The sequence below is a fragment of the Homo sapiens genome, chromosome 12 (genome assembly GCF_000001405.40).
Source record: "Homo sapiens chromosome 12, GRCh38.p14 Primary Assembly".
Classification (NCBI taxonomy): Eukaryota; Metazoa; Chordata; class Mammalia; order Primates; family Hominidae; genus Homo; species Homo sapiens.
Genome location: NC_000012.12, coordinates 100,586,662 through 100,602,758, shown reverse-complemented (window position 1 = coordinate 100,602,758; position 16,097 = coordinate 100,586,662). Strand labels below are relative to the sequence as shown.

The 16,097-nt window shown below is 34.8% G+C and overlaps 1 protein-coding gene across 15 annotated transcripts in view; it reads right to left on the bottom strand.

Moving 5' to 3' along the window:
- The window catches only part of GAS2L3 (growth arrest specific 2 like 3), a 54,605-nt gene that overhangs the window by 25,530 nt on the left and 12,978 nt on the right, over window positions 1-16,097 (bottom strand). For 8 of the 15 annotated variants that reach the window (XM_047428730.1, XM_047428734.1, XM_047428733.1 and 5 more), the window contains 5 exons: window positions 10,903-11,023; window positions 10,310-10,385; window positions 7,837-7,884; window positions 2,209-2,377; window positions 1,006-1,121 (listed from right to left, as the gene is read on the bottom strand). In XM_047428730.1, the coding sequence (XP_047284686.1) occupies window positions 1,006-1,121; window positions 2,209-2,377; window positions 7,837-7,854 (303 nt within the window). In that variant the 5' untranslated portion in view covers window positions 7,855-7,884; window positions 10,310-10,385; window positions 10,903-11,023. Of the gene's footprint in view, window positions 1-1,005; window positions 1,122-2,208; window positions 2,378-7,836; window positions 7,885-8,758; window positions 10,275-10,309; window positions 10,386-10,902; window positions 11,024-16,097 lie in introns of those variants that run through there. The other 7 variants (XM_047428737.1, NM_174942.3, NM_001363672.2 and 4 more) reach the window with 6 other exon arrangements.

Sequence of the window (16,097 nt, the reverse complement as noted above, 5' to 3'; positions counted from 1 at the left end):
AATATATAGTTAGAAAGAATTAATAAGACCTAGTATTTGATAGCACAACAGGGTGACTACAGTCAATAATAATTTAATTGTACATTTAAAAATAACTAAAAGAGTACAATTGGATGGCTTGTAACACAAAGAATAAATGCTTGAGGGAATGGATATCCTATTTTCCATGATGTGATTATTACTTATTGCATGCCTGTATCAAAGTATCTCATGTACCCCATAAATATATATACCTAGTATGTACCCACAAAATATTTTTTACAAGATATACTTTATTTTCAGTGATATATATATTATATATATATACACACATATCATCCACTATCCCCCAGAATGATGATACTCCTTTATATTTCCACCAACTGTGTGTAAATTTCCAGACTCCAAACTCTTGAGAATACCTACATTTGATGAAAAGACAGGAAACCTTATCTACTTCAAATCATGACTTCAGGGTTAATGAATGAAAACTGTCTAAAAAATGTATTATTTATCCAATCAATATTTATAAAATTTACCACTAATGCAATATATGGAGAATATATAAAGAAGAAAATAATAATAATAGCAGCTGCTACTTGTGTGCCAGGAACCATCACAAGCTCTTTTCCCATTTAACCCTCACAACAATTCTACAAGGAAGTTATGTTAATGTTCTCAAGAAGAGCTGGATCTACTATGCATCAAGCACTATGTTAGACACTATCTATACATTCACCCATTTAATTTGATTGAACTCTCACAAATAAATCCTAAGGAACTGTTAATCTCATTTTATGAAAGAGAACATTTTTCCAGATCTTGAAAAGGGTTAAGTAAATTATTCAACATCTAATCTCATTTTATGAAAGAGAACATTTTTCCAGATCTTGAAAAGGGTTAAGTAAATTATTCAACATCTCATAGCCAGTTGGCATGGAAGTTTACAACCTTCTAGAGATAAGAAGTGTACATAAATTAATATGTACCAAGACATAAAATCAATACTGTCGAACATTTACTTACCCCTGATTCTTCAGAGTTGCATGTTTTCACCATGTTTTGAAGAACATCAATCAGTTGACATAATAGTACTCCATTATCAAGTTCTTCCAATAATTTTTCTGCCTTAACTTTAATACCTAAAAACATATTTCAAAGTTAAGAATCTTCTAGAAACATAAAAACAATATGGTTAAAATTAATTAAATAGAATCAGATTACAGCAAAACACTAGAAAAATATCAGATCAGACTCTAAATACTTACTCTTAGAAGGTACAGTTAAAATAGCAAATAATGGCCAGTTAACTTAATGATACTGAAACAAAAATATCTGTAATGTAGAAGTACAGAAAAACTGACATCGATTTTATTTCATTTAAAATGAAATAAATTCACTGCATATTAATATTCCTTGCACAAGAAAAACAGTCTCTATAAATAAGATGGACTTGGTTGCAATTTTAAAATTAAAGACAATACCATAACAAATACCCAGGGAATACTAACTTTTTACTTCTAGAATGTCTTCTTTAAAAACATTATTATTACATAATAAACTCTAAATATTATCCATCAAACTGATAATAGACAACTACAGTGGGTATTTGGTATTTAATTATCTTGGAAGAGCTGTATCTTTTAAGATATTCTTTTTCAGGAAAACTTTAGAATTCTACATAAAATTATTTAAAGTAAAATTTTTCTGGGGAGAAAGCTTAAAGCATTCATCATATTCTCTAATAGAGTAAAAAATACAATGCCATTCTCCAACCTGACATTTCTTCCTAGGTTTCATATGGCTGTATCCTTCAATGCCTCAAAAATTGTAATCATTTAACCTACAGTATATGTTTCACTCAAAGTTCATGGCTTATACAAGACTAAGGTGGGTCGAGGCAGGAGGAAATCAGTAAAAAAAAAAATTAGACCAATACAATTTTTAAAGATGATTTTAATATTAACAGTGAAAATGTTCATTATTCAAAGCTTACTGACCTCTTCGGTTAAATCGCAAATTTCCTACTATTCAAGACCCAAGGTTCAGGGTGAATCAGACTATTTCCCCAGCTGAAATGTAACCTGGGTGAGACCAAGGGCACTGAATATTTCATTCACTGGAGTATCCCCAGCATCTGTAACAATCACTCCTTGACAAAGAGTAAGGCTCTCAATAAATGCATATTGAATAAGATAATACAATTTTGGGTATTGTTTCAAGCCTCACCTAATAAACCAGATAACCAGATTGACAGATCTTCTTGCATGGGCAACAAAGTGGCTTCATGCCTCACAGCTATCCACTCATCGTACTGACAAACATTAGCCAATCCTGGTCCGTGTCTGGGAGTCAGAGGACTCCGAGGACTTAGAGGCAGATCTTCTCCAAACCATACCTAAAGAAAAAAAAAATCAATCAACTGAATGAATAAAACCTTTGCTAAAAGTCATCATAATCCACATCAATATTTAAATGATGAAGCATAAATCATACATAATAGACACATATAAAAAGCTGCTGTGGCTCACAGCAAATATATAAATTAGAAGCAAAGTATTAGTCCTATTCTGTTGCCCAGGCTAGAGTGCAGTGATGCGATTATGGTTCACTGCAGCCTTGACTCCCAGGCTCAAGCAATCCTCCCACCTCAGCCTCCCGAGTAGCTGAGAGCACAGGCACATGCCACCACACCCAGCTAAGTTTTTAATTTTATGTATTGCAGAGATGTGGTCACCCTATGTTGCCCAGGCTGGTCTTGAACTCCTGGACTCAAGCGATCCTTCCACATCAGACTCCCAAAGTGCTGGGATTATAGGCATGAGCCACTGTGCCCAGCCAAGACATTTTCAATATTCAATACTGTGGTCAATGTAAGAAAACCCCGAATTAATGAATGGATTCTACTATTGAGCCAAGAGGGTAGAATTCAACAAATAATATTTTTCCTTCACTTGTTAGCTGAGTAAGTTTAACAAGTTACTTGACCAGAGTCTTAACATCCTAGCTGTAAGATGGGTTAGTGATTCCTGCCTTATAAAATACATGTTTGTAGCATCTGGCATTGAGCCTAGCAGATAGCAGAGACTCAATAAACATTTGTTGAATGAATGAATAAATGAATGAATGAAGCATAAATGGCATTTTGTAAACTTCAAATCATAATAACAGTGTTATCTTTAAAAAAATTTCTAAGTACTTTAGTTTAAAACAAGTGGGTGGCAAACTATAGTCCATGGGGCAAATCTTGTCTCACCTATTTTGTAAGCCCAGAAGCTAAGAATAGTTTGTACATTTTAAAATGGTTGTTATATAAGTAACTGCGTAGTATCTCAATTTTGCCTACTGGTCCACAAAGCATGAAATACTACCTGAACAACTGAGAGTTTAGAATAAAAACTGACACTCTATAAATTTTATAATTTTATAGATGTTATAATCGACACTTGCCAAATTTTGAAATATGATTATTCTTTAATGTAAGATTATTCATAGAAAAGGCTGTATCAATTCTTCAGATGGTAAAAGAAGTAATCATGTCATTATGAAGTCACTTTTTAAAACAGATATAAATATCTCTTGTCCTTCTCCTTACTGAACAACTTAGAAAGGAATATTAGAGCCTAAGAGAAACGCATAGGAGATTCCAAGAGTGGGGTGGCTTGGAATGGAGAGTCAGAGCATGAGTGAGGTGAGTGGGCATCCGGGTATGGGGACAGCCCTGTGCAAGATGTCAGGCCCTGAGTAGGATAAAGAGGGCATCTAACAGGTGCAAAGGGGGAACGTCCCAATACAGAGTGTCAGAGTCCAAGTGAGCTGAGCATCTACCCAGGGTGTGAGTGGCAGCAACAATAAAAGAATGGTAACACACATGAGGATTTATCAAATGGGAGCCAATCTTCTCACTGAAGACAGGTACAAATATGGAATGAGAGAAGTAAGAATGAATCCTTTGGTGTTGAATTCAAATATCTCTTATCTGAAAGTAAAGAAACTCTCAAAGAATGCCAAAAGGACACATAAGCCAGCATGAAGGGACTTCTACTGGCTGAACTGAGGGCAATTTGAGCATTGAGATAAATGATAGGAATGGATTATACCACACTGAATAAAATAGGAAACTATGAGTTAACACAGATATAAATGAATACACTGAAATTTTAACAAGAATGGGATTTTTACATAGTTTCAAAGTACCTGCATAAAAAATACTACAAAGGGAAAAGGAGTAATTTTACAGTTCAGAAACCTGACAGACAGCATCGGAACCAAATAATGGAGGTGAACTCTATCAATAATGGGACAAATCAAAATCATATGCTACCTGATAGGAGGCAATGATAAAAATTCCTGCCCAAGATGCATAACCTGAGTTTAGTCATGAAAAAACATCAAGCAAATCCAAATTGAGGGACATTCTACAAAATAAGTGGTCGGGAATATTCAAAAGTATCAAGGTAATTAAAGACAAGCAAAGACTGAGATACTGTTCCAGCCTAATAACTAAAGAGACATGAAAACTAAATGCAACACATAATTCTGAGCTGGTTATTATTGAGACAACTGGCAACACTTGAAAGTGGCCTGCGTATTAAATGGTAGTACAGAAGCAGCATTAATATCCTGATTCTGACTATTTCATTGTGGTTGTGTAGGAAGATGTCCTTGTTTTTGAGAAATACACACTAAAATATTCAGAGGTAATAGTGCATTAGAGTCGCCACTTCCTCTCAAATGGCTCAGGCAAACAAATTTCTTTGTACTACACTTAACTACTCTGTAGTCTGTGATGGCTTTAAAATTTTTTTTTAAAAAAACCAAACTTTTAAAAAAGAACTGTAAGTAAAAGGAATACCAAGTGAATCTAGTCCTTTCTTGATTTTTAAATATAGACCATTTTCCTCTTAAAATATACTAAGCTTATTGAGGTTAATTTGAGGCAAGTCTTACTATACCAGATCAAAAGCTATAGCAATGCCATAGGTAATGCAACAAACTGGTGGCGGGGAATGGGGGAAACTACTTCCAATCTCCCATGATGAGAAATAAACAAGTTTTTTTTTTGTTTTTAACCCCAAGGCAAACAAAGAAAATGAATACACTCAAGAAGCATGCAGGGGTAGGGAAATCTAATAAAAAATAAAAAATAAAATAAAAGTAAATTTAAAAACCCCATCAAAGACAAAAAAGAAATGTAAGTTATTTAAGGGACATTTACTTCAGGAATTAAGGTAGGGATTGGGCAATGAATTCCTAAATATATGAGGATCCTATGAATAGGAAAATGATGTTATTTATTTCCCTGAATTCTCTTAAAATTATTTCCAAGGAAGTACAGTAACGCTTTACTAATTCTTCCCTTTATAAGCATATTTTATTTCTATTATAATCCTGAGACTCAGTGTAATGCTTACCACATAGTATTCAAACATATTTGTTCAATAATTGAGGAATAGATATTAGCAAATGACTCTTTGTACCATCAAAATCAAAATGTATCTTACAATCAATTGTATTTGACAGTCAATGGAATATGTTATTTGTCCATTAACCATCTGGTTGAGCTGAAAAAAAGCAGAGCAGATGTAAATGTTTGTCAAGGAAAGAAGGGCATAAATTAAGAGGGTGGTTTTTTTAAAATCATGTATGAAAATGGAGATGCTAACATTTTTTAAGAAGTCATTTTTACTTCTTGTCACATTAGAGAGAAGAGTACATGTTGGATTTTCCTATTATTGCAAGCAGACGACTTTAGTAATAACCTGGGCTAGTCAGTAGAAATTAGTATTAAAAGTCAGATATTAACAAAAACTGCATGTATGAAGATTGTTCTCAAACATGCTGAAAGCTGTCATATTGTCATTAAGAGATATTTAATTCATGGGTACTCTACAGATTAACTTAGGTACTTGCACTTGCTTACATTTAGGCAAAATTTTATGCCTATATACAAATGGGCCTTTTCACAGAGAGTGACTTCATAGCCTTTGTCAGGTTTTCAAATGGGACTATGACCCCAGAAAGGTTAAGAACTATTGTCCATTGGCTTTTATATGTTTATTTATTAATCAGAATGAAGGACACAGATGAATGGCAAGAAATATCTTGAAGTATTAAATTAGTAAGACATCAATTAATAACAGCTATTCACTGGATGTCTCCTCTCTGCAAGGCACTTAATAACCAAGTAACTGTCTAATATAATTGGCAGAGAAAGAGGTGGAAATCCTGGGAAGTCCTCACATGCAGCAGCAAAAACCTCCATGAGACATGTGAAGGGAGGATAGTCTTGGAAAAAAAAATCAGTAAAGACAGATCTTGGAATCTGGATCAGAGAAGATTTTATGAAATCATTAGACAAACTATGAAAGAATCTACCATGTTAAGAAAATATAAATGGCCATTAGTGTAGAAATAAGAAAAAACATGGGCAATGTGGCAACAATAGAAAACACTCTATAAGGAATCTAGAAAATATAATTGATAAGAAACTATGACATTCCTGAGACTGGATAAAAAGGGGATGAATAGAAGTAATCAGGTCAAAAATGATTTTGAGTAATAACAGAGTTCTAAGCATATGCAAGTGGATGTGAGAGGACCCAAAGGGGAAGAATAAGACCTTCTGGGAGACAGTCATGGACTCCCCAGTCCCAAAAGGAAAAGTATGATGGAACTGTATTTAGTAGAGTAGGAGACTACAGCTGCAGAATATAGGAAGGTGGACAACAGGGTCACATGCAGGGCTGTTCTTAACCATTTGATAAATTCTCTTCTCTAGGCTGTCATCCACTGTTAAATTGATAAGGGAAAGGAAAGGAAAGAAGAGAAGAAGGAGGAGGGGAAGGAAAGACTGACTTTTATGACACAGGTACTATCTCTAGGTTTATATCTGGAAAATTTTATCATATCAAGGATACAACCAAACTTCTGACGTGCTTACAGGCAATATATATTCTAGCAGTCCATTTGCACATGTTATCTCATTGATTCCTCAAAACTACCCTCAAGTTAATCACTATTATCCTCACCATAGAGGTAAGGAAGCAGAGACTCAGAAGTAAGATAACTTGCCAGAATCTCAGAATCAAAGGGGCAGAACTAGGATCAGAACTGAAATCTAATTGATGCAAGTTTTTACTTCCCAAGGCAAATTTTATTATCAGTTGCTTGCTTCTTTCCAGGCAGACCTTCAATGTGACTTTTATTTTTAAGTTAATATTCAATCATGTTCTTTTTATACAAAAGAAAGAAAACTTAAAAAATAAGAATAATATAGCAAACACCAACTCTGGAAATCATTCAGATATAAGGCTATTCTGATTGTCTCATTATACCCAGCTTGCACCCCTCCACAAAAAACAAAACAAAAAAAAAAAAACCCACTCTTTAAAATTTTAATGGCCAGTCATATACAGGCATTTATAGAGCACATGAACAACTATCTGAAATTTAAAAACATATATTTGTTTTCACTGAAAGCTCTTTTAACTGTAAATACATACTAAATTGTAATGAGGGGAAAACCACAAAATATTCCACCTCTTTTCCCACAGTGGTATAAATAAGACAGACCTACCAACCCTAAGGTATTTTTACACTTGATCTTAGCCAAAAGGCTGAGAAGAGATAACCCTAAGGTATTTTTGAATTTTACAAATATTCAGTATAAACAAAAGCTTAGAATTGAACGTTTTTGAGAACTAGAAAGTCAAAATATAGTATGTGTTATTAAAATGTGATGCTTAAAAAAACTAGCACAATAAGAACACTGTGATAATTTTATCTTTGCTAATTATTACAGTTCAATTATATTAATCTCATAATTTAAATATTGTTTCCAAGAAAAAAACTTACTTGAATTGCAGGCTGCATAGTCACCTATATTGAAATGAAATTTCTTTTCTGAAAAAAGAACAAAATATTAACATACAGTTAACAGTGGCAGTTTTGCTACTCCCCCAAACCCCCAAATTACAAGATTTAGGAATGTGTTTACTCGACTGCAAACGCAAAACTTTTTCTTCTAGTTAGAAAAGTCTGAGTATAAGAAAATTCATATCACTCCTTTTTACTTCATAAAGGACTACTCATTTGAAAAAGGAAAACCTGAAACAGACTTTAATATAATATGTATTTTCTGGCATTAGCATCAAAGTAATTCTTGAACCATCTGGACAGTTTTGAAAAAAAATCAACAAAACTTAGCTCATATAAAAGTCTCCCAGAATTTTATTTTCCCCTGTGAATATAATGTAAATATAAATATTACAACAACTGATATTGAAAGTCAAGTATCTTTTATCTGACTGTCATCAAAGTCCTAACAGGTCATATGCACTTTGCATAAATTCACAAACTTGACTATAAGCTTATTCTGCTAATAAAGATAAACATCAATTTTAACTGTGAACCAAAATGCTCAATGCCTCCCCATAATAATTTCCCAAAGACAAAGAAGAAACAGCAATTTTAGCTCCAAAGTAGTATTCTTGAAATCTACATGGAAAAAAAATACTTTAATTCATTGAATTAGGTAAATGCAATTCTTTCCTATATTTTCAAAGGGATAAAAGTGAAGAGTTTAAAAACATTCAACAGTATAGACTATAAAAACCTAGGATTTTTTATTGCTCATAGCAGCATAATAAGCTAGTCTAGTTTTATTATAAACCATCTTTAAAATATTTTAAGAAAAAATATATAATAATTACAAAGCTATAATGCTATTACTTTCCAAGAAAAAGTTATTTTTTCCTCTAAGTTATATCAGACATACCTCATGCACAGTGTCAACTATACATACCACTTTCCTTTCAGGAACATTTCTTCTAGTACCAAAGTTGAACCTGAGCTAAACCATACTGAAAAGCCTAATATTATAACACATTTTCTTTGCAGGAAGGCAAAAGACAACAGAATGTCCTTTTTGATGTCATTTTCCCTTCTCTCCACCACAGCAAAAGGCCAAAGTACAAGTGAGCATTCCTAATGAGCTTGTTATGCTTCCCACGAGCTAATTCAGTGGGGAATACATTTTCCTTTAGCATAAATAATCCTTTGTCCGCAACAAAGATCCACTTCTCGGAAGTAAGAAGCTTCCAAGACCATTTTTTAAAAATGCAGCAAAGAAGCTGCTCCTATTAAAATGGAGTTCCACATAATCAGACAAGAGCTTTAACAGTTGGAGCTGCCAGCCCAAAACAAAAGAAAGCCTAAATTATAAGGCGTGTGCAAATCAAGAACAGTGACACATTCACAAAGAAGCTATCACAAGAATGTTTAGTCGCTGCACTTTTTATGGAAAATTCAACAAAATTAGTTTTATGAAAGAAATAAAGAATTTATGCACAATATTTGGTCACTTGAACTTTAGCAAGAGTCTTCACATACATTTTTAAAATCATCCTTCTTGCATAACAGAAAAAACTACTTTTAAGATGACAAAAATATAACCATCTGGATTAACTTTAAAAAACAAATTCTTTAAAAAATAGTATGCAGAGAAGTTATTATGTATCTTCATACATGAAAAGCTATAATATACATGAGCATGTGCTTTTCATTGATGAGATTTTATCAGTCAATCATCAATTAAGTAATAAGTACTCACTATATAACAGATACTAAGAGCCAGTCTTTGGTATTTTCTAGTCATTCACTATCATCTTTCCAAGATATTTTTGTGTCTCAGGCATTTATTCCCAAGAGTACCTTTTTAGCCCCAGTCCTCGATACTATCACAATCACATTTCTTGCTTCTCCTTCATTTTATTACCTATTTTCCTCTTTTCTATCATTCCCTAAAAATCTCTATTTGTTTCATATAAATCAGTTACACTGAACCAGTAACATTTAATTTTGCATCTTAATTAGCAACATATTGTCCTTATTTTTTGTTTTTGTCTTTCTGTCTTTTTGAAGAAGCCTATTTCAATTCTTTGCCAACTTGAGGAAGTCTTTTCCCTTAGATTTCGCGAGGGTGAGGGAAGACCTCTCACGTAACCAAGTCTAAACTCCACTCTAAACCTGTTGGGAATCTTTCACAAGACACTCTTATGCATAGATCATACAAAGTTAGGAATACTATACTTAACTTTTAAAATCCGAGGAAAATGTTGGAAACACAGAATGTGCTCATCCACCTGAAATTTGACCAGAATTTGAGCCCAACCCACTCATCTTTAAAAATTTTTAAAAAGTCATGAGGTACTCAAGATTATTTGCATTAAGGCTCTTCATTCTAATTTGACTTCATACCATAATGGGATTAAAAACACCAACTACTGAACCGATCCTTCGTCCCAAAAATACAGGATCTGAAACTTACACATTTTCAATCCTTTCTCACGTTATACGGTATGATGGGGAGAATTCAAAATGTCATGGCTCCATCTGTTACAAATCTGAAGTCAACCAGGAAGAGTAGCAAACAAAAAAAAGCAAAGAAATAAGGTAAGTTTCTTCAGGAAAAAGAATAACATTAATTGCCATTGTGTCACCCATCCATTCAGCCCTCAGCCACCAGATTATCGCCAAGATACACAAGCTGCAAGGATAGGATCAAGTTGAGATCGCGGTTACTACTGAGGAAGAGAGAGGAAAATGACCCTGGGGAGGAATGCACAAGGGCCTTTCAACTGTACCAGTAAGATTTTATTTCAAGATAAGCGGTAAGAACAAAGGTGTTATTATACTAGTCTGTATGCCTTTCTGTATGTCAAAATATTTCATCCTTTTTTAATGCTTCATTTAGAAAAATAGTTGAAGAAAACATCCTTTCTGATTTACTCAGAAAAAAAGTTTCTTAGCTTTAAAATTTTGAGTTAAATGTTTCCTAACTGCCTAATAAAGAAAATAGAAATAATATATCTATACCAATCATATTTCATGTATTTCTTAATGTGTACTAAAATAACTCACCATAAAGACAGCAATGGGGTAGTAGAAGGTATTGAACACATCTGATTTGAATTACAGCTCCAGAAAATACTGGCTATATGACTTTGGAGTAGTTAACTTCTCTGAGCCTCAGTGTTCTGATCTGTAAAATGAAATATGACCATTTCCTTCTTATGGCTGCTGTAAAAAATTAAATGAGACGATACCTATAAAGTACCAGATACACAGTTAGCACTTAACAAATGAATTATGAATATGGTGATGAGACATAATTGTAGTTCATTTGATATAATTTATCCAATTAAAGAGATAAGAAAACAAAGCTAGTAATACTCAGATATCATTAGGCATAATTTGGAAAGCTGCTTTTACTAACACAAAAATAAATATAGTTATAAATGAGAGTAAAAGCTTTAAAATACCCACATCATAATTGGCAGGACACTCAGATAAAAATTTGTGACTGACAACTCACTTTGCTAGAATAAATATTTAGGAATTTATTTAACATAGTCCCTTCATTCCCTTCAACCTGTCTCCTCAATGTCCTCTCTAAAAGTTATACTTATTTCTGGGGCTATTTAACTGTTTGCGCTGTGATCTTTTTTCATGTGGTATACGCTTATTTATTTATTCACCTCCTTTACTGAACTAGACGCCATAGGCAAGAGACACAGTGATGAACATAAAAGACATGTTTCTGCCCTTATGGGGTTAATATACCAGTTGAGAAGACTGAAAATAGCAAATACCTAAATGAATACATAATTTTATTTTTTACTTTTATTTTTTATTTTTCTATAAGTTATTGGAGTACAGGTGGTATTTGGTTACATGAGTAAGTTTTTTAGTGGTGATTTGTGAGATTTTGGTGCATCCATCACCCGAGCAGTATACACTGCACCATATTTGTAGTCTTCTATCCCTTGCCCCCCTCCCACTCTTCCCCCCAAGTCCCCAAAGTCCATTGCATCATTCTTATGCATTTGTGTCCTCATAGCATAGTTCCCACCTATCAGTGAGAACACACAATGTCTGGTTTTCCATTCCTGAGTTACTTCACTTAGAATAATAGTCTTCAATCTCATCCAGGTCACTGCAAATGCTGTTAATTCATTCCTTTTTATGGCTGCATAATATTCCATCATATATTATCTATATGGTGGGGGGGAGTGCACACACAGTTTCTGTACTCATTTATTCATGGGTATTTGGGTTGTTTCCATGATTTTGCAATTGTGAATCTTGCTGCTATAAACATGCATGTGCAAGTATCTTTTTCGAATGACTTCTTTTCCTCTGGGTAGATACCCAGTAGTGGGATTGCTGGATCAAAAGGTAGTTCTACTTTTAGTTCTTTAAGGAATCTCCACACTGTTTTCCACAGCATCTGTACTAGTTTACATTTCCACCAGCAGTGTAGAAGTGTTCCTTGTTCACCGCATCCATGCCAACATCTATTGTTTTTTGATTTTTTGATTATGGCTATTCTTGCAATAGTGAGGTAGTATCACATTGTGGTTTTCATTTGCATTTCCCTGATCATTAGTGATACTGAGCATTTTTTCTTATTTTTATTGGCCATTTGTATATCTTCTTTTGAGAACTGTCTATTCATGTCCTTAGCCCAGTTTTTGATGAGATTGTTTGGGTTTTTCTTACTGATTTGTCTGAGTTTGTTGTAGATTCTGGATATTAGTCCTTTGTCAGATGTATAGCTTATGAAAATTTTCTCCCACTCTGTGGGTTGTCTGTTTACTCTGCTGACTGTTCCTTTTGCTATACAAACTAAAAGCTCCTTAGTTTAATTAGGTTACAGCTATTTATCTTTGTTTTACTGCATTTGCTTTTGGGTTCTTGGTCATTAAATCCTTGCCTAAGCCCATGTCTAGAAGAGTTTTTCCAGTGTCATCTTCTAGAATTTTTATAGTTTCAGGTCTTAGGTTTAAATCCTTAATCCATCTTGAGTTGATTTTTGTGTAAGGTGAGAGATGAGGATCCTACACGTGGCTAGCCAATTATCCCGGCACCATTTGTTGAAAAGGGTGTCCTTTCCCCCACTTTATGTTTTTGTTTGCTTTGTCAAAGATGATTTGGCTGTAAGTATTTGGGTTTATTTCTGGGTTCTCTATTCTGTTCCATTTCCTATGTGCCTATGTTTGTAGCTGTACCACGCTGTTTTGGTGACCATGGCCTTATAATATAGTTTGAAATCAGGTAGTGTGATGCTTCCAGATTTATTCTTTTTTGATTAGTCTTGCTTTGGCTATGTGGGCTCTTTTTTGGTTCCATATGAATTTTAGAATTGTTTTTTCTAATTCTGTGAAGAATGATGGTGGTATTTCGATGGGGATTGTGTTGAATTTGTAGATTGCTTTTGGCAGTATGGTTATTTTCACAATATTGACTCTACCCATCCATGAGCATGGGATGTATTTCCATTTGTTCATGTTGTCTATGATTTGTTTCAGCAGTGTTTTGTAGTTTTCCTTGTAGAGGTCTTTGACTCCTTGGTTAGGTATATTCATTTTTTTTTTTGCAGCTATTATAAAAGGGGTTGAGTTCTTGATTTGATTCTCTGTTTGGTTGCTGTTGGTGTATAGAAGAGCTACTGATTTGTGTACATTAAGCTTGTATCCAGAAACCTTGCTGAATTTTTATTGTTGCTGGAAGTCAGGGACCCTAAACGGAGGGAGCCGCAGCAGACGAACATAAATTGTGAAGATTTCATATTAATATGGACATTTATCAGTTCCCAAATAATACTTTTATAATTCCTTATGCCTGTCTTTACTTTAATCTCTTAATCCTGTTATCTTCGTAAGCTGAGGATGTACATCACCTCAGGACCACTGTGATAATTGTGTTAACTCTACAAATTGATTGTAAAACATGTTTTTTAACAATATGAAATCAGTGCACCTTGAAAAAGAACAGAATAACAGCGATTTTTATGGAACAAGGGAAGACAAGCATAAGGTCTGACTGCCCGTGGGGTCAGGCAAAAAGAGCCATATTTTTCTTCTTGCAGAGAGCCTATAAATGGATGTGCAAGTAGGAAAGATATTGCTAAGTTCTTTTTCTAGCAAGGAATATTAATATTAATACCCTGGGAAAGGAATACGTTCCTGGGGGGAGGTCTATAAATGGCTGCTCTGGGAATGTCTGTCTTACACAGTTGAGATAAGGACAGAGATATGCCCTGGTCTCCTGCAGAACCCTCAGGCTTACTAGGGTGGGAAAAAACTCCGCCCTGGTAAATTTGTGGTCAGACTGGTTCTCTGCTCTCAAACCCTGTTTTCTGTTAAGATGTTTATCAAGACAATACCTGCACTGCTGAACATAGACCCTTATTAGTTCTGCTTTTCCCCTTTGTTCTGTTCCCTCAGAAGCATGTGATCTTTGTTAGACCCTTATTAGTAATTCTGTTTTTTGCCCTTTGAAGCATGTGATCTTTGTACCTACTCCTTGTTCTTACACTCCCTGCCCTTTTGAAACCCTTAATAAAAACTTGCTGGTCTGAGACTCAGGAGGGCATCACAGGCCTACCGATATGTGATGTCACCCCTGGCAGCCCAACTGTAAAACTCTTCTCTTTGTACTGTCTCTCTTTATTTCTCAGTCAGCCGACACTTATGGAAAATAGAAAGAACCTACACTGAAATATTGGGGGTGGGTTCCCCCAATATTTTATCTGTTCTAAGAGCTTTCTGGAGGAGTCCTTAGGGTTTTAAAGGTAAACAATCATATCGTCAGCAATCAGTAATAGTTAGACTTCCTCTTTACCGATTTGGATGCCCTTTATTTTATTTTATTTTATTTTTTTGAGATGGAGTCTCGCTCTGTCACCCAGGCTGGAGTGCAGTGGCACGATCTCAGCTCACTGCAAGCTCCACCTCCTGGGTTCACACCATTCTCCTGCCTCAGCCTCCCGAGTAGCTGGGACTACAGGTGCCCACCACCACACCTGGCTAATTTTTTGTATTTTTAGTAGAGACAGGGTTTCACCATGTTAGCCAGGATGGTCTTGATCTCCTGACCCTGTGATCCACCCGCCTCAGCCTCCCAAAGTGCTGGGATTACAGGCGTGAGCCACCGCGCCCAGCCTGGATGCCCTTTATTTCTTTCTCTTTTCTCACTGCTCTGGCTAGGACTTCCAGTACTAGGTTGAAGAGGAGTGGTCAGAGTGGGCATCCTTGTCTTGTTCCAGTTCCCAGAGGGAATGCTTTCAACTTTTCCCCATTCAGCATTACGTTGGATGTGGGTTTGTCCATAGATGGCTTTTATTATATTAAGGTATGCCCCTTGTATGCCGATTTTGCTGAGAGTTTTAATCAGAAAGGGATGCTGGATTTTGCCTAATGCTTTTTCTCCATCTACTGAAATGATCATGTGATTTTTGCTTTTAATTCTGTTTATGTGCTGTATCACATTTACTGACTCGCATATGTTAAACCATCCTTGCATCCCTGGTATAAAACCCACTTGATCATGGTGGTTTATCTTTTTGATATGTTGTTGGATTCAGTTAGCTAGTATTTTGTCAATTACAAAGATTTTAGCATCTATGTTCATCAAGGATATTGGTCTGTAGTTTTCTTTTTTGGTTATGTCCTTTCCTGGATTTGTTATTAGGGTGATGCTGGCTACATAGAATGAGTTGGGGAGGGTTCCTTCTTTCTCTATCTTGTGGAATTGTGTCAAAAGGATTGGTACCAATTCTTCTTTGAATGTCTGGTAGAGTTCTGTTGTGAATCTATCTTGTCCTGGACTTCTTTTTTGTTGGTAATTTCTTAATTACCATTTCAATCTCACTGTTTGTTACTGGTCTGTTCAGGGTATCTAATTCTTCCTGTTTTAAGCTAGGAGGGTTGTATTTTTCCAGTAATGTATCCATCTCTTCTAGATTTTCTAGTTTATGTGCATAGAGGTGTTCATAGTAGCCTTGAATGATCTTTTATATTTCAGTGTTGTCAGTTGTAATATCTCCTGTTTTGTTTCTTAGTGAGGTTATTTGGATTTTTTCTCTTCTTTTCTTCATTAAGCTTGCCAATGGTCTATCAATTTTATTTATCTTTTCAAAGAACCAGCTTTTTGTTTCATTTATCTTTTGTATTTTTTTGTTTCAATTTCATTTAGTTCTGCTACGATCTTGGTTATTTCCTTCTGCTGGGTTTGGGTTTGGTTTGTTCTTGTTTCTCTATTTCCTTAGAGGT